The following is an 18,886-nucleotide window of genomic DNA, read 5'->3' as shown; positions in this document are numbered from 1 at the left end:
AACATCCACAGGTCTGGCCCGAGTGCTCCTCCTCCCTGTACCCCATCACAGACCGTATCACACTTGTCCAATCAATAGTTCTGTGAAGCCTTCCTTCTCAACCTCCATGTCCCCCCACCCCACACACGGTAAATCCCTCCTCCTTTTGTTCCATCCTCCCTGCCACCCCATGCCACTTAGGACACTACTATCCTTGTGGGCAGGGACTTGTATTTTTTATCCAGGTCCCCTGGCACCTACACAGTGTGAGATACTGATTTAGGTGCTTAGCATTCAGCAGTGAACCTAGCAAACAAAAATCCCTGTCCTCATGAAGCACACATTGTGATTGTGAGGGGTGGGGGAACAGATCGAAAATAAGTAAAATGTAGAGCATATTAGTAAGTTACAAGTGTTGGCCGGGCGCAGTGGCTCATGCCTGTAATCCCAGCACTTTGGAAGGCCGAGGCAGGTGGATCACCTGAGGTCAGGAGTTCAAGACTAGCTTGGCCAACATGGTGAAACCCCGTCTCTACTAAAAATACAAAAAATTAGTCGGGCATGGTGGCAGGCACCTGTAGTCACAGCTACTCGGGAGGCTGAGGCAGGAGAATCTCTTGAAACCAGGAGGCGGAGGTTGCACTGCGCTGAGATCGTGTCACTGCACTCCAGCCTGGGCGACAGAGCAAGACTCTATCTCAAAAAAAAAAAGAAAGAAAAAAAGAAAGTGACAAGTGTTGGCCAGGCGTGCTGGCTCACGCCTGTAATCCCAACACTTTGGGATCCAAGGCAGGTGGATCACTTGAGGTCAGGAGTTCGAGACCAGCCTGACCAAATGATGAAACCCCGTCTCTATTAAAAGTACAAAAAGTTAGCTGGGCATGTAGTCCTAGCTACTTGAGAGGCTGAGACCCAAGAATCACTTGAACCCAGGAGGCGGAGGTTGCAGTGAGCCACTGCCCTCCAGCCTGGGGGACAGAGTAAGACTCTGTCTCAAAAAAAAAAAAAAAAGAAGAGAAAAAGAAAGAAAATAAAATAAAAAAGAAAGTGACAGTTAAAGACAAGAATAGACAGCAGGGAAGGAGGATAGGAAGAGTAGGGGGTGAGGCTGTGAGAAAGCCTTTATGGTATCCAGTATGAGGGAACAGATCTCTAGACTTGCACTGGCCGGACAAAGGTCTTGAGGCTGGAGGGGAGGAGGCTGCCCGCGATCAAGTTACAGCAAGGAGGATGGTGTGGCTGGAGAGGTGGTGAGCACAGGGGGTGGTGTCGAAGGGGAGGTCAGAGAGGTAGAGCAAGCCTACAGATCAGATAGGCCTTGTGGGTCACAATAAGGACTTTGGCTTTTGCTCTGACATAGGAGCCGCTGGTGGGTTTCTAGCAGAGAAGTGGCATGATCTCATTTTAACAGGAGCACTCTGGCTGCTGTATTGAGAAAACACTCAAGGAGGACAAGGACAGAAAAAGATCAGTGAGGAGTTTGCTGTGACAATCCAGGTGAGAGGCGACGGGTCTTGGACCAAGGCCACAGTGAGAAAGTGGAGGGTGAAGCATCTGAACATGAAGAGTAGGAGATGACTCTACATTTTTTTTTAATAGAAATGGGGGTCTCGCTATGCTGGCCAGGTTGGTCTTGAACTCCTGGCCTCAAGCGATCCTCCCACCTCGGCCTCCCAAAGTGCTGGGATTACAGGCGTAAGCCACCAAGCCTGGCCTCTACATTTTTGACCTGGGCAACAGGAAAGGAACTGAGATGAGGAAGACTGTGGGAGGAGAAAGATTGATAGAAAAGATCAGGATGAGTTTGTCTACTAGACAGCTAAAGGAACTGGGGCCTGGATGGCTGGATACAGAAGTCCAGGGTTCAGGAAAGATGGTCTAGGCTGAAAGTATACATTTGGGCATCATTAGCATAAAGATGCTCTTTAAAGCCTTGAGGACCAGATGAGATCACTAAGGGAAGCAAGTGTTTCAAGGAAGAGGGAGTGATTCACTAAGTCAAATGCTGCTGATAGGGCAAGTGAAGATGGGGCGTGGCAATGAATGAATAAACGCCAGGCCTGTTAGATATGCAAAGCGCCAGTGATTATTGAGGGTTAACTGACAACAGACAGGTGTAGAGACAAGATGGCTCTAAGTCACAGGAACACTTAGAGACACAGGGAAGGGAAGAACTATGGCATCTTGGAGTTGGAAAGGACCTTAACTAGGTCATTGAATCTGTACTCTTTTCCCCACCCTAGCCTGACAATTGAACCCTTGGCTGTAGAACAAGAAATATTTGCGGGATACTGAGGCAAACAGTCTGGCTAGGTAGGTTAGAGAAAGTACCGTTGAAGAATGAGAAAAAGGGTACTTCAGTAAATGCTGGACAGCAGAGGCAGGGTGAGGGAGTGGAGATGACCTTCCGAAGTCAGAAAACCAAGGTTCAGGTCCTGTATCTGCTGCTCCCTAGCCTCCTGTCCTTGGGCAAGTCACTTCACCTTCTCCAGCCTCAGTTTCCCCATGCGGCGACATCTGAATATGGTAGTGCTTGAAGGTAGTGTAAAAGTGTCCTGCCTGTGTTAGTTACTGCCAGAGCAAGGGAAGGAGGCCAAGAGAAGCCCTTGGTTTGGGATGGCAGATAGGACTATCAAGATCTCCGCAGGTGGGCTGGCGCAACGTGTGGAGAAGCGAACCAGCATTCAGGCCAGGACCTGGGCTGGAATGGACTGGGCTCGGGTGGCAAGGGGGCCATCTGGACAAAGACCGTGGCCCTGAATCTGCCTCCCCTGAGCCTGGAACGGAGGTGGAGACCCCGAGGCAGCAACAGGGAGAAGAAATAGAGACGCTGAGGCAGAGAGACCAGAAGACTCAGAGACGGGGAGACTAAGAGACAGACCCAGCAACAGGCGGCCTCACGGGGGCCCGCGGCGACCCGGAGAGGGCGAGGCACCGGGACACAGACCCGGGCCGAGAGGAGCCCCCGCGAGGCGCAGGGCCGTGGCGCGCGGGCGCAGGGTCCCCGGCGGGGCCAGGGTGGCCACACTCGCCGGGCGCCCCCTCCCGGGCCGCTCGCCCAAGATGGCGATGGAGGGGCGGGTGAGGCGGCAGCGGCCCTGGCCCCCGCGCCGGCCCCAGCTCGGGCCCGGGCCCCCGAGGCCGCGCCCCCGCCCGCGGCGCCGCGCCTCCCCGGGCCACTGACGCCCGGCGCGCTCTCCCCCCGCGGCGGCGGCCGAAGCACGGGGAGGCGGCGGCGGCGGCGGCGGCCCGAGCCCAGCCCCATGGCGCGGGGGGACGCCGGCCGCGGCCGCGGGCTCCTCGCGTTGACCTTCTGCCTGTTGGCCGCGCGCGGTAAGGGCGGGCGCCCGGAGAGGCAGGAGCGACTGCGGAGTGCTGGTGCGCCCGCGCCCTGGTCTGCATCGGGCTGCGGGGCTGGCTCAAGCCGGAGTCCCGAGCAAGTGCGGGGGCTGCGCGTCCAGGTGCCCGCGATGCCTGCGCGGGGGTCTGCGAGCTGCGGCCGGGGGGCGTTTGTGGGGCGTGCTTGTCCGCAGTGGGTGTGTGCCTTTGGTTCGCAGAGTCTGGAGTCGTGTGTGTGTGTGTGTGTGTGTGTGTGTGTGTGTGTGTTGGGAGTGCTCCTGTCGTGTCCGCAGTGCGTGCCATGGTCGCGGCGTGGCATCGGCGGGGCGGGTAGCTGCGGTGTCGGTGGCTTTCGCGGGGCGGGCTCTGCCTTGCCTGCGCGTGTCTTGGGTTGAGAGTGTGTGTAAAAGAGGAGGGAACTGGGGTTGTGTCTGCACCTCCATTTGGGTCGGGTGCGTGTGCAATTGTGTTTATGGGGCTGAGCTAATATTTGGCCTTGGCATTTGGGAAGTGTCCTTGCCCATAGTGGGGGACAGAGCGATGGATCCCGTTTGACTGGGGGTGGTGGTGATAAAACAACACTCAACTTTGCCCAGTGGGTGTGGTCCCTGGGGCCGGTTAGAGAGGGGTAGAGGGAGGTGTTGCTCCCCAAAACCTGTGGCCAGCAGTGGACTGGGGGAGGGGGCAGGAAACCATTTGCTTTCGTGGACATGTCCAGCGCTTGTTCTCACGATGGGACGCGTGTCACCCCGGCCCCACCCCCCAGGGACCGACCAGGGAAGCGTGGACGAGGTCAGCAGGGCCTCATCCAGTCCGCAGCCCAGTGCGGAGTGGGTACGGGGTAAGTCAGAGTTGTCCAAGCTGGAGAAAGGGCTGGGGAGGGGATAGCGAAGTCCCCAAGGGTGTGTGTCTAGGGCTGCGGCTTCCACCCACAGCTCTGTCGCTTCCTGTCCGGTGTGCGTTTGGGGGCGGCTCATGGGGAGTGTAGGTGGCAGGGCTGGGAGGGGGATGGGCTGGCCGCTTTGTTCGCCTAGTTCTTGCCTTCCCCGCGGAGGGGGGAGCTGAGGATGTGTCCGGGGAGAGTCGGGGAGGGACTTGGAGGTGGGGGTGGGGAGGGGGATTTCTCTCCAGCTGCTGCGGCTTTCCAGAGAGACTCAGCCAGGCCACGTGGGAGGGAGGCGGGGGGAAGGAGCCTCCGCCTGGCCAGCCCCAGGCCCATCTCCAGGAAAACCAAACAGCGGGTGGGAAAGTGCCGGGAACTCCTCGGACCCCTTCTGTCCCTACAAAGACACGCCCCTTTCCAGCCCCAACAGCGGATTAAGCTGGAGGCCGCCGCGAGGCTGGGTCTCGGCTGCTGGGCCAGAGGAGCTGGAGGCCCTGGCTTGTCAGGTGAAAGGGGCGGGGAAGTGTCAGAGAGAGGTCTGTCTTCCCAGAGCTCAGGGGATTAAGGAATAGTTCCCCTGCCCCACCTTCCGCTATTCCTAGGGCTCCTGGAACGAGCTCAGGGTCACCCAGCTAAACGGCATCAGGGCTGGGAACCGCACCGGCGCATTATTCAATACCTTTAGGACCTGCCGCGAGGGACCCAGCTTCCCTGGCCTCTCCCTGCTCCCGAACGCACAAAGCAGGCGAGGGACCGAGTTGCGGCGTCTCTTGGTTGCAGTGTGAGTGGCTACAACAGCTTGCCCTGGTCCTCCAAATCTCAGCAGGCCGGGGGACACTCCAGTCGAGTCATGACTAGCCACCCTGATCTGTACTGAGGTCATTCATTCGTTCAACAAATATTTATGGAGCACCTTTTATAGGCTAGCTTGTGCCTAGTGCCTAGAATATAGTAAATAAGGAGGCAGACCTGATCCCTGGTGCAAAGCTTTCAGTCTGGTGGAGGGGGAAACTGACAAGTCCCCTGAAGTGCTGGGGAAGACGCAGGAAGGAGGGGCTCCTACACCGATCTGGGAAGGTCAGCAAAAGCTTCCTGAAGAAAGTGATGAGTAGTAGAGCTCGACATGGAGTTAGCCCTGTAGAAGGAGAATGATGATGGGGACAGTTTTCCAGAGAACAGCATGTGCAAAGTTCAGAGGTGATTTAGTTGAGATCATTGGATTAAACTAAATCTAGCTGGAGTTTAGGGACAAGGGGTGGATGGGGGGCAGGTGAGGGAAGCATGGAAAGGGGTCAGGGAGTATCAAGACAGGAGGCTGAAGAGGGGAGCTAGATCCAGCTCACAAAGGGCTTTACAGGGCCCACCAAGGTTTCTGGCCTGAGAGTCCCCATGAGCCCTTGACAGGATTTAAAATCAGCTTTGCATCATCTCATTCCAGCCAGTGTGGAGGATGGATTGGGTGGGGCTGGAGGCAGGAAGCTCCAGCTCCTTCGAGGCTGTTGTAGCAATCCAGAAGAGAGGATGGTGGCAGCTAGCATAGTGGCAGTTGGGGTTGGGCTGGAGTGGCTGCATTCCAGAGATTTTCAGGAAATAGAATCAGTAGAACTTGAGGATAGATTGAATTTGTAGGGGGCGAGAGAGAGGAAAGTAAGAAATAGGCCGGGTGCGGTGGCTCACGCCTGTAATCCCAGCACTTTGGGAGGCCAAGGCGGGCGGATCACGTGAAGTCAGGAGTTCAACACCAGCCTGGCCAACATGGTGAAACCCCATCTCTACTAAAAATACAAAAGTTGGCCAGGTGTGGTGGTGCATGCCTGTAATCCCAGCTACTCGGGAGTCTGAGACTCGAGAATCGTTTGAACCTGGGAGGTGAAGGTTGCAGTGAGCTGAGATCACGCCACTGCACTCCAGCCTGGGCGACAAAGTGAGACTCTGTCTCAAAAAAACAAACACAACAACAACAAAAAAACATGAGGCAGAATGAAGGGCTGGTATTGGGGTTAGGATAATGCCTGTGCCTGCCCATCTCCTCCCAACACTGTTCTTGAGTCAGGGACTGGGACCCCTTTGTGAACAGGTGGCGAGAAGCCGAGCTCTGTTCTTATCACACGCACAAAGGTGGGGCTCTCGGCTCTCCCTTCTTCCCAAGTCAGAATTTGGAGGGTAGGGAACCTAGAGGTCAGTAATGGGAGGCCTCTAAGAACTTGAGAGCTTTCTCCTCACCTGGGAACTCCTCACCTCCCCCATCCCTTTCTCAGCCCAGAGGCTCAGAGGCCAATCTCAGTCATTTGGGGTGGGCCTCTTTCCCCATCTTGGAAGTTAGGAATCAGGTCAAACAGTTGGAGTTTCTTTTAATAATGAATCTTATCCAGAAGATACCTAAACCTTCATTGATCCTCTATGTGCTTTCATGACTCAATTAAACACACATTTACATGTTAATTAGCATTTCTTTTCTCCTAAACATATCTCTTTCAAGTGAAGCAATTTCACAATTAGCGCATCATTGAATGTCAGCACTGAGAGGAACTTAGAAATAATTTCAGGCCAGGCTCATACCTGTAATCCCAGCACTTTGTGTGGCTGAGGCAGGAGGATCGCTTGAGCTGAGTTTGAGACCAGACTGGGCAACATATTGAGACCTCATTTCTACGAAAAATTAAAAAAAAAAAAAAAAAAAGCATGGCGGTCATGGTGGTGTTCCCTGTTGTCCTTGCTGCTCAGGAGGCCGAAGTGGGAGGATTGCTTGAGCCCAGGAGTTCAAGACTGTGGTAAGCTATGATGGCTCGCACCACTGTTCTCCACCCTGGGCAACAGAGTGAGACTCTGTCTCAAAAGAAGAAAGAGAAAGAAAAGAAGAAACAATTTTAGCATGAACCTGTTTTTACAGATGAGAAAACTGAGTGACTTCCCAAAGTTACATGATTAGGGACTGAAATGGGGCCACCCTTTCTAGGGATACCCAAGTTCACTCTCTTTGCACTCCTCTATACCTTCTGAGACGTTATCAGCTTCATGCTCTCCCTCTCAAGTGGGTCTATCTGGGCTCTGGAATCCACCCTCCTCCACTTAACCCCCCCCACCTCTTTCTATTCTCTCCCATGGTACAGCAACCAGACTTGATACGGAATTCCAGATGCAGAGCAGATGTCATTACCAGGCAGGCTTGGGGGCAGGGGGAGGAGTAAGCATGGCTCTGAGGGAGAGGACCCCAGCCTGGTCAGAGGTGGGTGACAGGAGCTAGGGGGCCAGGGAAGGAAAACCAGAGAGTATGTTTTGGAGCCTGACATGCAGAGAAATCAAACCCTGTTACCTGTGCCAACTGGGCTGCCAGCTACTACTGCCTCACTGCTGAGGCTGAGTGAGGTATCCTTTGGATTTGGGGGCCCATGGGGTCCTTGGGATCAGGGAAGCAAGGACCAATAAGCTGTCCTTCAGGTGCAGACCCAAGACTCCTGGATGGTTCTATAAGGGACTTATGACCTTGTTAGATAGTTTGCAGGACAAAGCTCTGGCCAGTGAGCAGAAAGTACTGGGAGAGACAGGTGGGCACAAGAGAAATAAATTTTTTAACCATATGAGCCATACAGCAAGAGAACAGGCAAGGTAGTGATCTCCCCAGCCTGGTCATGTTTAAGTACAGGGTTTCTTTCAGTGTGGACTTCAGCTGTTCTATCTCTGCTTTTCAAGCATGTCATGTCTACTGGGTGCCACGCAGTGTGCTAGGCAGTTTCCACATGTCTTCCTGACATCCTTTCTTGCCCTGAAGGGAGTTACTGTTGTTTTTACAGATAAGGAAACTGATGCTTGGAAAAGCATAGGGGGCTCTATGCCTTATCTTTTTGAGGATGTCTTCATGGGTTCACTCATCCATTCAAGAAATGTTTATTGAGCACCTACTGTGTGTTAGGCACTGTTCCAGGTACCGAGGATTTAGAAAGCTAAGACATAACCCCAAGACTTTGGTGCCTAGTTGAGGAGAAAGGCAAGTCAAAAACCTAGAGTGAAGGCTGGGCATGGTGGCTCACTCCTGTAATCCCAGCACTTTGGGAGGCCAAGGTGGGCGGATCACTTGAGGTCAGGAGTTCGAGACCACCCTGACCAACATGGTGAAATCCCGTCCTACCAAAAAATACAAAAACTAGCCAGGCATGGTGGCGCACACCTGTAGTCCCAGCTACTTAAGAGGCTGAAGCAGGAGAATCACTTGAACCTGGGTGGCAGAGGTTGCAGTGAGCCGAGATCATGCCACTGCACTCCAACCTGGGTGACAGAGTGAGACTCCGTCTCCCCCCGCAAAAAAAATCTGGAGTGATAACTGCGATGATGGGGGTGCCAGCGTTCTACGGGGCAGAAAAAGGAGAGGTGTCTAAATCAACCAGGGACATCACAGCTGTTCTAGGGAGTGAGAGCAGCACCAGCAATGCGTGGAACAAGATGTGTTTTCAGAGAATTGGCCATGGTTTGCTGTGTGTGGAGGGGTAGAGGGTCTCAGGGGAGCGGGAGATAGGCAGGTCAAGCTGAGCCTGGCTTTGCTGTTGGATAGGCTGAGGCTGAGACTCTCCCCTCAGGATTGCAGATGAAGGGAGAGCTGAGGCCTTCCTTGTGTCCCAGGCAACTGTCCCAACTCTCCTTCCAGCTGTTGGGGGGAGGGGCTCAGCATGTGGTAAGGGAGGTGGCCAAGGTTGGGGGCAGGAAGGAAGGTTTCTGGAAGGAACCGACTTGTGTTCTCTGGGAAAGGAGAATGGTGATGGTGTCGTGGAGAATTTCTCCTGGGCTGCAAACAAGTAGTAAATCTGTTGGGCCCTGAAATTCAGAAGTGAGGAGGCACTGATGTGATGTTTGTGGCAAGTTCCTGGCTTAATAAAGGAGCCATCTTGGCCTCGTTGTTCCCCTCCCCCAGCTACACGCCCCTTCCCTAAGAATTCACTGAAAAATGGAACTCACGCCAGGCCTCCACTAATCCCACGAAACAGCATTGAGCTGGCCCTGGAGCTCAGCAGCGAATCTCCTTTCTGTCTGGGTTCTAATTGGCCTCATAAAATCCAGTTTATCCTGTAAGTGGGTAAAATAATCTGTCAGAAAAAGGAGATTGAGAGGTGGCCCTAGGGTTCCCAAATGCAGCAGCTCTGTGTCTCTGACAGGGTCTCACTGAGGAGATTGAGGAGAAGGGATTATGGGAGGGGTGGCCCCCTCAAGACAGAAAGCCAGCGGGCAGCAAGTGTCCACTGGGCACCTGCAATGTGTCCACCCCGGCACTGAGAGGGAGGGCTAAAAATGTTGGGGGTCAGCCATGACAGTGGGCTGGGGGTGGCAAGTAAGCGCTGGCCATGAAGCTCCTGGACAAATAAGGTCCCCTCCCCAGAGCATCGCTTTTATGAAAAGATTTGGTGGTATGGGAGCCACACTTATATTAAAACAAATATTGCTGTGTTATGGAGCAGAATGCAAAATGTGCTAGAGGTTTGGCCGGGCGCGGTGGCTCATGCCTGTAATCCCAGCACTTTGGAAGGCCGAGGCGGGCGGATCACGAAGTCAGGAGATTGAGACCATCCTGGCTAACACGGTGAAACCCCGTCTCTACTAAAAATACAAAAAATTAGCTGGGTATGGTGGCGGGCGCCTGCAGTCCCAGCTACTCGGGAGGCTGAGGCAGGAGAATGTCTCGAACCCGGGAGGCGGAGCTTGCAGTGAGCCGAGATTGCGCCACTACACTCCAGCCTGGGTGACAGAGCGAGTCTCAAAAAAAAAAAAAAAAAAAAAAAAAGTCAAAACATTTTAGGCAGTCAGCGAGCCTCGTAAATATGTGTTCCTCTGCTGTTGAGAGAATTTGGGTGAAAACGTTTGAGAAGTTTGGAGACTTCTCATTTTAAAATTGGGGAAACTGAGGCTGAAAGGACAAAAGTAGCTCACACAAGGTCATGCAATGAATGACTGGACTTAGAACCCAGGACTCTGAGGCCAGGCTTGTCCCACCACACCCCCTTGTCTGTCTAGGCAAGAGTAAGGGACCTGCAAGTGGTTTTCAGTGTGAGACTTAGGAAAAACTTTACCTGGGGAAGGTAGGAGCAGCCTCACAGAAGGGCTGGCACGTGAGTCCCTAAGGATGCGCTTCCTGGGCACAGAAATCAGGTTGAGCACAGAGGCAGAGAGAACCCTCTTATTCAGGAGCAGTTGTCTCCTCAATGCTGGTTCATCCCCAAAAAGTCAAAGAAGGGCAGTTTTCCCAGACTGTCTTCCACAGAGATGAGACCCCTCCCCAGGCCTCAGTTTCCCCATCTGTGGAATGAGGATTCTCAGGCTTCACAGACGTTTCCACTAAAATGGGCTGTCTTGGGCTCCTGGCACAGCACTGCTGCTCTCTGAGGGGGACCCCGTCTTCTCTCTGTGTCTACGTTCCTGTTGCTTTCCCTGTTCCTGCCTTGCTGAGCTCCTCAGAGGTGGGGAAGCCAGACATCTGCTGATCCATGAATATTCAGGAAGGGAATCGGAGCCTCCTCTGGGCTCCCCAGCCAGCCGCCAGCCCCTCTGGCGGCCGTCCTGCCTGCCAGAGCCCAGGCTGCTGACATACCCAGCAGCTGCTCGGGCCCCAACTGTTCACATTGTTTGTTCAACGCAGCAGGGGATTTTCCAAGCCTGGGACATGCTTTAGGGGGCAGGGAGGCTGCCGGAGGGCTCAGGGATTTGTGTCCTTTGGGGGTTTTCTCCCCTGAAACCCAAACCTACTGCTTAGTGGCTGGAATGGGCATTTGGAAGCCACTGGACTGAGAGCCGGGCTTGCCTTCCTCCTACCCTGTACTTGAATCATGGCATCTAGGGCCTTAGAGATAGAAGGGACTGGATGATAAGAACAGCAAATAGCACTTGTACAGCCCTTTATAGTTACAAAGTGCCTTTAAAGAATAAGCTCCCCGCCGGGCATGGTAGCTCATGCCTGTAATTCCAGCACTTTGGATGTGCTCTTCCAGAGCACTGGATCTTCCAGAGCCAAGGCGTGATCTTCCAGAGCCAAGGCAGGCAGATCACTTGAGGTCAGCAGTTCAAGACCAGCCTGGCCAAAATGGTGAAACCCTGTCTCTACTAAGAATACAAAAATTAGTCAGGTGTGATGGCGCATGCCTGTAATCCCAGCTACATAGGAGGCTGAGGCTGGAGAATCATATGAACCCAGGAGGTGGAGGTTGCAGTGAGCTGAGATCATGTCACTGTACTCCAGCCTGGGCAACAGAGCACAACTGTCGCAAGAACAAACAAACAAAGAATAAGCTCCCATTCCTTGAGTGATGTCTATTAGGCTCTGGGCTGTAGCCCTGACATACATTGTCTTGTTTAATTCCTTCACGCTTAGTGGTATCATCTTCATGTGGAAACTGAGTCCCAGAAAAGTTAAGTGGCTTGTCACAGAGCTGGTAGGTGGAGCAGCAAGACTGAAACCTTGATCTTCTTCCCCAAGGTCAAAAGCTGTTTCCACCACAGCACGTGGCCCGCAGTAGTGTGAATGCCAGATTGGTTTCCCCAACTAGAATGCAAACTTGGTGAGGGCAGGGGCTGCTTCTCCCTGCTGAGCCCGCGAGTACTGCTGAGACTAGTTGTGAAGCCAGAGGTGTCCAGCAGAAACCATCTGATGAATTAAGAAAGGCAGCAGCCCAGGTCAGGTCCTGTCTCTCCGTCCGCCCTTCACACTGCAATCCCAGGCCCTGGCCTCCTTATTTCACGCAGCCATCACTGCTCTTCTCCCCTCACTCTTGTTCCTCTTTGGAGCTGGTGGGAAGGGAGTCTGGAGACTCACAGGGCTTCTAAATGTTGACCTGTGTGTCCAAGTGTTGATGAGTGTGGCAGAGACTGAGGCGCATGTGTTTAGGAGTGCAGAGCTATGTTTACCAATTTGTGTGTGGTCTCAATGGTGTTTTATGTTTGTTCAGGAATAGGTGTGTCCATGTCGTGAATAATCATAGAATCATAGCATCTCAGAGGTCACCTGCTACATTCCAGTGAGCTGGGGCCCAGAAGGGGAAATGACTGGGCCAAAACCACATGGCTAGACTGTGATGGAGCTGGATCTAGAACCGAGGGTCTCCTGATTCCCTCGCCATTGTTTTGTGCACGTCCCCACGTGGCTCTGTCAGCCCAGACCTGCCTTGTGATGAGTATGGGCCATTGTCCTGACCTCTGGCCCTGGTTCCTCTCAGACATGCCATTCTGCCTTAAAGTAAGGAGTCAGACCAGAGCCTAAGAAGGGACCTTGGGCCATTGAGCTTTTATAAGACAAGGAGGCAGCAGGTCAACCTTCTGGAAGACACAACAGGGAGAACCAACCATTTGTCTATGAATAATGGTGGCTGGGCCCTGCAGAACATTGGTTCCAATAATAAACATTGGCTTTTGTGTGTTTTTGCCTTGACCCTGGGATGGCATTCCCTTCCTCTACTGTTTCCCTACTCTTCCCTTTGTGGCAAGGGCAGTGTTGGGGTCTGTAGGTTCCTCTGGGGCCTTGGGAGAAAAAAGAACCCTGGATTGAGTCAGGAGACCTGAGTCCTGGCTCTGGCCTCCTGCATGGCCTTGGGGAAATTAGCTGCAGGGAGTGTTGAGCTTCTCCAGTCACCAGTACAGACCAGGCTGTGGGCTGCCAGGGCCTGGAATGAGCCATGTGAGCCTCCTCTCATGCTGGGTCTGAATCCAGCTTGAGTCTAGTCCCTACCTGGGGCACTTAACAATTCCCAGCAGGATCTGCTCACTTAGTTCATTGTTGGGGAAGGGGGAATGTCTGACTTTCCTTCATCCAGGTGGCTCCCCCAAACAGCTGGGACTTATTTTTGTTTTGTTCATTCAAAATATATAGTATTCACACACACACACACACACACACACACACACACACATTTTCTCACACTTATAATACATTTTAAATGTTTCTTGGATATGGTATTTTTCTAGCCTGTGTGTGTGTGTGTGTGTGTGTACAGAGAGAGAGAGAGAGAGAGATCTATATATGTATATGTATGTATTTTAGACAGGATCTCACTCTGTTACCCAGGCTAGAGTGCAGTGGTGCAATCACAGCTCACTTCAGCCTCGACCTTCTGGGCTCAAGGGATCCTCCCACCACAGCTGGCTAATTAAAAAAATTTTTTTTTATAATGATGAGGTCTCCCTGTGTTACCCAGGCTGGTTTCAAACTCCTGGGCTTAAGCAATCCTGCTGTCTTGGCCCTCAACCTCACAAAGTGTTGGGATTACAGGAGTGAGCTGCCATGCCTGGCCTCCAGTGGCATATTTTTGATTGGGTAATAATGATCAATATGATCTGTTAGGTTCCAGGGTAGGGAATGACATTACTGAGCTCCCATTCTGTGTCAGGCACTGTGCTTTTTTTTTTTTTTTTTTTTTTTTTTTGAGATGGAATCTCATTCTGTCACCCAGGCTGGAGTGCAATGGGGCGATCTCGGCTCACTGCAATCTCCACCTCCTGTGTTCAAGAGATTCTCCTGCCTCAGCCTCCTGAGTAGCTGAGATTACAGGTGCGTGCCACCACGCCTGGCTAATTTTTGTATTTTTAGTAGAGACGGGGTTTCACCATGTTGGTCAGGCTGGTCTTGAACTCCTGACATCATGATCCACCTGCCTCGGCCTCCCAAAGTGCTGGGATTACAGGTGTGAGCCACTGCACCCAGCCACTATATTCTTTTCTCACAGAGTCTCGTTCTGCCAGCCAGGCTGGAGTGCAGTGTCGTGATCGTGGCTCACTGTAGCCTGGAACTTCTAGGCTCAGGCGATCCTCCTTGCTTCAGCCTCCTGAGTAGCTGGGACCACAGGCCTGTGCCACCATGTACAGCTAACTTTTTAAATTATCTGTAGAGACGGAGTCTCTCTGTGTTACCCAGGCTGGTATGCTTTTTTAATTGAGAGACAATTCACGTACTACAAAATTCACCCTTTACAGTGTTCAACTCAGTGGTTTTTAGTATATTCATATTCACAACGTTGTGCAACCACAGCCACTATCTAATTCTAGAACATTTTCATCACCCCCAAAAGAAACCCTGTACTCATTAGCAGTCACTCTCTGTCCTTCCTCCTCCCAGTCACTGACAATCATTAATCCACTTTCTGTCTTTATGGATTTGCCTCCTCTGGGCATTTCGTAGAAATGAGATCATGCAAAATGTGGCATCTTATGATTGGCTTCCTTCACTTAGCGTCAAGTTTTCTTGCTACCTTGTAGCATGCATCAGTCCTTCATTCTTTTTGATGGCTGAGTAATCTATCCATTCATCAGGTGATGGGCTTTTGGGTTGTTTCCACTCATTGGCTATTATGAATAATGCTGCTATGAGGAAATTGAGCAGCAGGGGAAGACAGGCACAGAGGAATGCAGCAGTTTGTCCAAGGTCACAGTTAGTAAGGGGAGAGCCAGGATCCAGATGCAGGTGTTTCTCCTTGATTTGCCCCAGCCCCTGCATGGGTGACTCAGGAGCAGAGGCTGTGGGAGGTGGGGGGACATACACTGATGGCCCCGTGCTCCTCCTCTATGCAGGGGAGCTGCTGTTGCCCCAGGAGACGACTGTGGAGCTGAGCTGTGGAGTGGGGCCACTGCAAGTGATCCTGGGCCCAGAGCAGGCTGCAGTGCTAAACTGTAGCCTGGGGGCTGCTGCCGCTGGACCCCCCACCAGGGTGACCTGGAGCAAGGATGGGGACACCCTGCTGGAGCACGACCACTTACACCTGCTGCCCAATGGTTCCCTGTGGCTGTCCCAGCCACTAGCACCCAATGGCAGTGACGAGTCAGTCCCTGAGGCTGTGGGGGTCATTGAAGGCAACTATTCGTGCCTAGCCCACGGCCCCCTCGGAGTGCTGGCCAGCCAGACTGCTGTCGTCAAGCTTGCCAGTAAGTGCTTGCATCGGGCGGGGGTCTGAGGCTGAAACCCAGACTTGGGGTGTGCGAAGTGGGATCTGCAGTTAGTTACTTGCACAAATGCCTCTCTCTTGATCCCACTCCCCCTTTCCCTGCCTCCCATCCTGCTCAATAGGTCTCTTCCTGGTATTGTCTATCCTCATTCTTGGGTATTCCATAATCTTCCCGCTTCTTCTCCACTCCCCTGTTCCTTCTGCTTTTCTTTCCCTTTGAGTCCTAGAGTCTGGGCTTGTGCTGTCCTCCAGGGAGCCTGCCAGAGTGCCCCCTTTGTGTCAGAGGCACAAAGCTGCCTCCTAAGGGAGCTCCTGCCTGCACGGCAGGTGGAACATGTGGAGCCAAACCCCACGCTCCAGCCTTACCCCTTAGGGGGCTCTCAGGAGGCACAGATCACCATGAAGTAACTTTCAGGCCAGAAGAAGTGTGCATCTTACTGTATAGTTTGACCATCATGATGATGTTGGGCAGGGGGGCTTTGGAATTCATTCTGCTGGCAGTATCTGACCGCTAATCACCACTTCTTGTTGTGTCTCCCTCGGTCTGAATTGGCTCTGCTGTGTGTTTCTGTGACTGTGTGTTTCTGTGTCTCCATGCGGATGTGTTTCACTGTTTGTGCTTGCTGTGGCTTCTCTCTCCTATTCTTTTCCCGTCCCTGCCTGTGTCTCACTGTCCCCAGCACTCGCAGACTTCTCTCTGCACCCGGAGTCTCAGACGGTGGAGGAGAACGGGACAGCTCGCTTTGAGTGCCACATTGAAGGGCTGCCAGCTCCCATCATTACTTGGGAGAAGGACCAGGTGACATTGCCTGAGGAGCCTCGGTGAGTGCCCTGTAGGGGAGCGGGTCCTGGTAGGCAGGGCAGAGAGGGCTCTGGGGTGTGCTCAGAACTGAGATTCTTAGAGTCGAGGTAGCTGCATTTACCTAAGCTGACTTGAGTGTTAACCACCGCCTGACTCCTGGCTCATGTCTAGTCCCAAAGAGAAGTTGGACAAGAAGTTTTTGCTCCCTGGGAGGAAGCCACCCATTGAGCTGTGGAGCCTGGGTAGGTGTAGTAGTAGAGTCCTTCCCAGCACATCTAGTCCAACCACTTGCTTTATTGTGGAGACTGAAGGCCAGAGAGGAGCTGTGGCTTATCCCAAGCCGTACCATGAGCCATTGGCAGAATGTTGGTTGTCTGTTGAGGGCTCCCCGAGGCTGCTGGGAAGGTTTTCTCTTTTCAGGGTTCCTCCGGAGTTTCCACTCTAGATGCATAACTTCTCTTCCTCTCTCAATTCCATCCAGTGGGGCGTAGCCCTCTGAGAAGTGAATTGTAGAGGTCTTTCCTCTTTCACTCTCCTCTTTCCCTGTAAAGGCAATGGATGGGTAGAGCAATCCCAGGGAAGAGTTTCCAAGGCGGAAGGGAAGCAGAGGCTAGACCTTGGACTTGGTCCCTCTTGTGGCTTCCTGGGTAGGTCCAGATGTGTATGCAGCGTACCAGAAACCACAAGGCTCATTTGCATCTGTGGTCTCTGAGTTGGTCTCATGACTCAGTCATCACCCCCTGGATTCTTACGTATCTTTGGAAATGTGGCTCCAAGGCCTTTCCCAGCCACCCTGCAGTCCTCTCCCTATATCTCGGTAGCTGTAGTTACCAGCTAGATCCTTCTCCCGTCCTGGTGGAGGTGGGGCTCCTTGGGCTCTGAAACACTGCCCTTTCTCCCCTGGATCCAACCTTCTGTTGCCTGTGTTGCATTGTCCCAGCTCCTCTGACTTTTGCCCATGTGTAGGTAAGGATGGGGGTTGTAGGAGAAACTTCGGGGTAGAAAAGCCACAGGACAGTTGTGAGGGAGGAAGAGGGTGAGAGGTCCATACATAAGAGATCCTGGCTGGGTGTGGTGACTCATGCCTGTAATCCCAACCTTTTGGGAGGACGAAGCAGGAGGATCACTTGAGCCCAGGAGTTCAAGACCAGCCTATGCAAAATATCAAAACCCAGTTTCTATAAAACAATACAAAAATTAGCCCAGTGTGGCAGTGTGGTGCCTGTGGTCCCCGCTACTTGGAAGGCTGAGCGAGATCACTTGGAGGTTCAGGCTACAGTGAGCTGGAATAATGCCACTGCATTCCAGCCAGCCTGGGTGACACACCGAGACCCTGTCTCAAAAAAAAAAAAAAAAAAAGAGAGAGACATCCTGTTGACTTTGGTGATGGGTTAGCCCCACTGGTCCTCAGAGAGTCACTTCTCACCCAGTCTATTCTCCTTCCCACCTATAAAATGAAAGGGGGAAACAAATGAAAATTGATTTAGATTGTGGTTTCCCAAAGCGTGGCCTTTATAGAATGTTAGTCCCTTTAAATGCTTCTTGAATGAAGTATTCTATGATCAAATAAGAACAGGAAACTGCCTGTAAATCTCCCTCCTGGAGTTGGCAAGGCCCTGAGAAGTGCTGTATCGAGAATCCTGTTGACCTTGTTTAACGAAGCACTTCCTAGGCTCGTTTGCCCAGGAGCCCCTTAACATCCCATGAATGAGCATTCTAGAGGGTGAACCCTGGGAAATGCTGACCCAGCCTTTCTAACACTGACATTTGAAGTTCTGTGCCTTTCTAAATGTGGAGCCTGTCACCACTGTGTGATGATGGGTGCCTCCTGGGAGTTCCATGAACCCAGAACAGATGAGCTAGGCAGGAGAGAACCACGCGAGAGCCTACTCCTGATGCCCCCCAGAGAGGGTAGCAGAAGGCAGCAAAATCTCCCCATGTTGAAAGTCACAACATGAACCACTTAATGGGAGTGTACCTTGGGCCAGGCACGTGCTGAGCCTTTTACATGTTTTCTCACTTAACCCTTCCAATCATCCTTTAATGTAGGTATTTCTTATTTTCACATTTTCCTCTATTTACTTTTAATTGATATTCCAGCAGATGCATTTTTAAAATTCATATCAATATGGCTGGGCGCGGTGACTCACGCCTGTACTCCCAACACTTTGGGAGCCAAGGCGGGCGGATCGCTTGAGCTCAGGAGTTAGAGACCAACCTGGGCAATATGGTGAAATGTCATCTCTCAAAAAATACAAAACTTAGGCCGGGCGCGGTGGCTCACGCCTGTAATCCCAGCACTTTGGGAGGCTGAGGCGGGCGGATCACAAGGTCAGGAGTTCGAGACCAGCCTGACCAACATGGTGAAACCCTATCTCTACTAAAAAAAAAAAAAATACAAAAATTATCCAGGCGTGGTGACGCATGCCTGTAATCCCAGCTACTCAGGAGGCTGAGGCAGGAGAATCACTTGAACCCGGGAGGTGGAGCTTGCAGTGAGCCAAAATTGAGCCACTTCACCTGTCACCCAGGCTGGAATGAAAATACAAAACTTAGGCCAGGTGCAGTGGCTCACGCCTGTAATCCCAGCACTTTGGGGGGCTGAGGTAGGTGGATCATCTGAGGTCAGGAGTTCAAGACCAGCCTGGCCAACATGGTGAAACCCCGTCTGTACCAAAATTACAAAAATTAGCTGGACATGGTGGCAGGCGCCTATAAACCCAGCTACTCAGGAGGCTGAGGCAGGAGAATCGCTTGAACCCAGAAGGTAGAGGTTGCAGTAAGCCAAGATCACACCATTGCACTCCAGCCTGGGTGACAGAGGAAGACTCCGTCTCAGAATAATAATAATAATAATAAATTATATTGTACATACTAGGTTTTTTGTTGAATCATCTTTTTTTTTTTTCAAAAACAAAAATGGGATTATGTTGCAATTTTAATTTTTTTTTCACTTACCACTTGATAAACATCCTTCCA

General features: G+C 52.3%; 1 protein-coding gene and 1 long non-coding RNA gene across 8 annotated transcripts in view, besides 6 other annotated features; one reads left to right on the top strand and one right to left on the bottom strand.

Annotated features, from left to right (window-relative positions):
- Positions 2,346-2,880: an enhancer, noted in NCBI's record as "OCT4-NANOG hESC enhancer chr15:65715563-65716097 (GRCh37/hg19 assembly coordinates)". NCBI's record gives its function as "activates a minimal SCP1, AML or CMV promoter by ChIP-STARR-seq in naive H9 embryonic stem cells {active_cell/tissue: H9 hESC(naive)}" and the evidence as "EXISTENCE:reporter gene assay evidence [ECO:0000049][PMID:30033119]".
- Positions 3,158-18,886, top strand: part of IGDCC4 (immunoglobulin superfamily DCC subclass member 4) — a 41,464-nt gene continuing 25,735 nt past the window's right edge. For 3 of the 7 annotated variants that reach the window (NM_020962.3, XM_011521846.4, XM_047432908.1), the window contains exons 1-3: positions 3,158-3,312; positions 14,735-15,085; positions 15,786-15,927. In NM_020962.3, coding sequence (NP_066013.1) covers positions 3,243-3,312; positions 14,735-15,085; positions 15,786-15,927 — 563 coding nt within the window. In that variant the 5' untranslated portion in view covers positions 3,158-3,242. Of the gene's footprint in view, positions 3,313-3,702; positions 4,160-14,734; positions 15,086-15,785; positions 15,928-18,886 lie in introns of those variants that run through there. The other 4 variants (XM_017022449.2, XM_047432907.1, XM_017022448.3 and 1 more) reach the window with 4 other exon arrangements.
- Positions 3,856-4,125: an enhancer, noted in NCBI's record as "active region_9600". NCBI's record gives its function as "activates an Ori minimal core promoter by ATAC-STARR-seq in GM12878 lymphoblastoid cells {active_cell/tissue: GM12878}" and the evidence as "EXISTENCE:reporter gene assay evidence [ECO:0000049][PMID:35858748]".
- Positions 4,146-4,255: an enhancer, noted in NCBI's record as "active region_9599". NCBI's record gives its function as "activates an Ori minimal core promoter by ATAC-STARR-seq in GM12878 lymphoblastoid cells {active_cell/tissue: GM12878}" and the evidence as "EXISTENCE:reporter gene assay evidence [ECO:0000049][PMID:35858748]".
- Positions 6,536-10,777, bottom strand: LOC124903510 (uncharacterized). The gene is made up of 2 exons (XR_007064684.1): positions 10,255-10,777; positions 6,536-9,256 (listed from the first exon to the last, which is right to left on the bottom strand). It is a non-coding gene; the product is annotated as an uncharacterized LOC124903510 (long non-coding RNA).
- Positions 8,097-8,307: a silencer, noted in NCBI's record as "fragment chr15:65710136-65710346 (GRCh37/hg19 assembly coordinates)". NCBI's record gives its function as "represses an EF-1alpha promoter that drives an FKBP-Casp9 reporter gene in an ReSE screen in K562 erythroleukemia cells {active_cell/tissue: K562}" and the evidence as "EXISTENCE:reporter gene assay evidence [ECO:0000049][PMID:32094911]".
- Positions 10,514-11,381: an enhancer, noted in NCBI's record as "OCT4-NANOG-H3K27ac-H3K4me1 hESC enhancer chr15:65707062-65707929 (GRCh37/hg19 assembly coordinates)". NCBI's record gives its function as "activates a minimal SCP1, AML or CMV promoter by ChIP-STARR-seq in naive H9 embryonic stem cells {active_cell/tissue: H9 hESC(naive)}" and the evidence as "EXISTENCE:reporter gene assay evidence [ECO:0000049][PMID:30033119]".
- Positions 14,849-15,506: an enhancer, noted in NCBI's record as "H3K27ac-H3K4me1 hESC enhancer chr15:65702937-65703594 (GRCh37/hg19 assembly coordinates)". NCBI's record gives its function as "activates a minimal SCP1, AML or CMV promoter by ChIP-STARR-seq in primed H9 embryonic stem cells {active_cell/tissue: H9 hESC(primed)}" and the evidence as "EXISTENCE:reporter gene assay evidence [ECO:0000049][PMID:30033119]".

Source organism: Homo sapiens, chromosome 15, assembly GCF_000001405.40.
Source record: "Homo sapiens chromosome 15, GRCh38.p14 Primary Assembly".
NCBI classification, from domain to species: Eukaryota; Metazoa; Chordata; class Mammalia; order Primates; family Hominidae; genus Homo; species Homo sapiens.
This window is presented reverse-complemented; position numbering and strand designations above follow the sequence as displayed.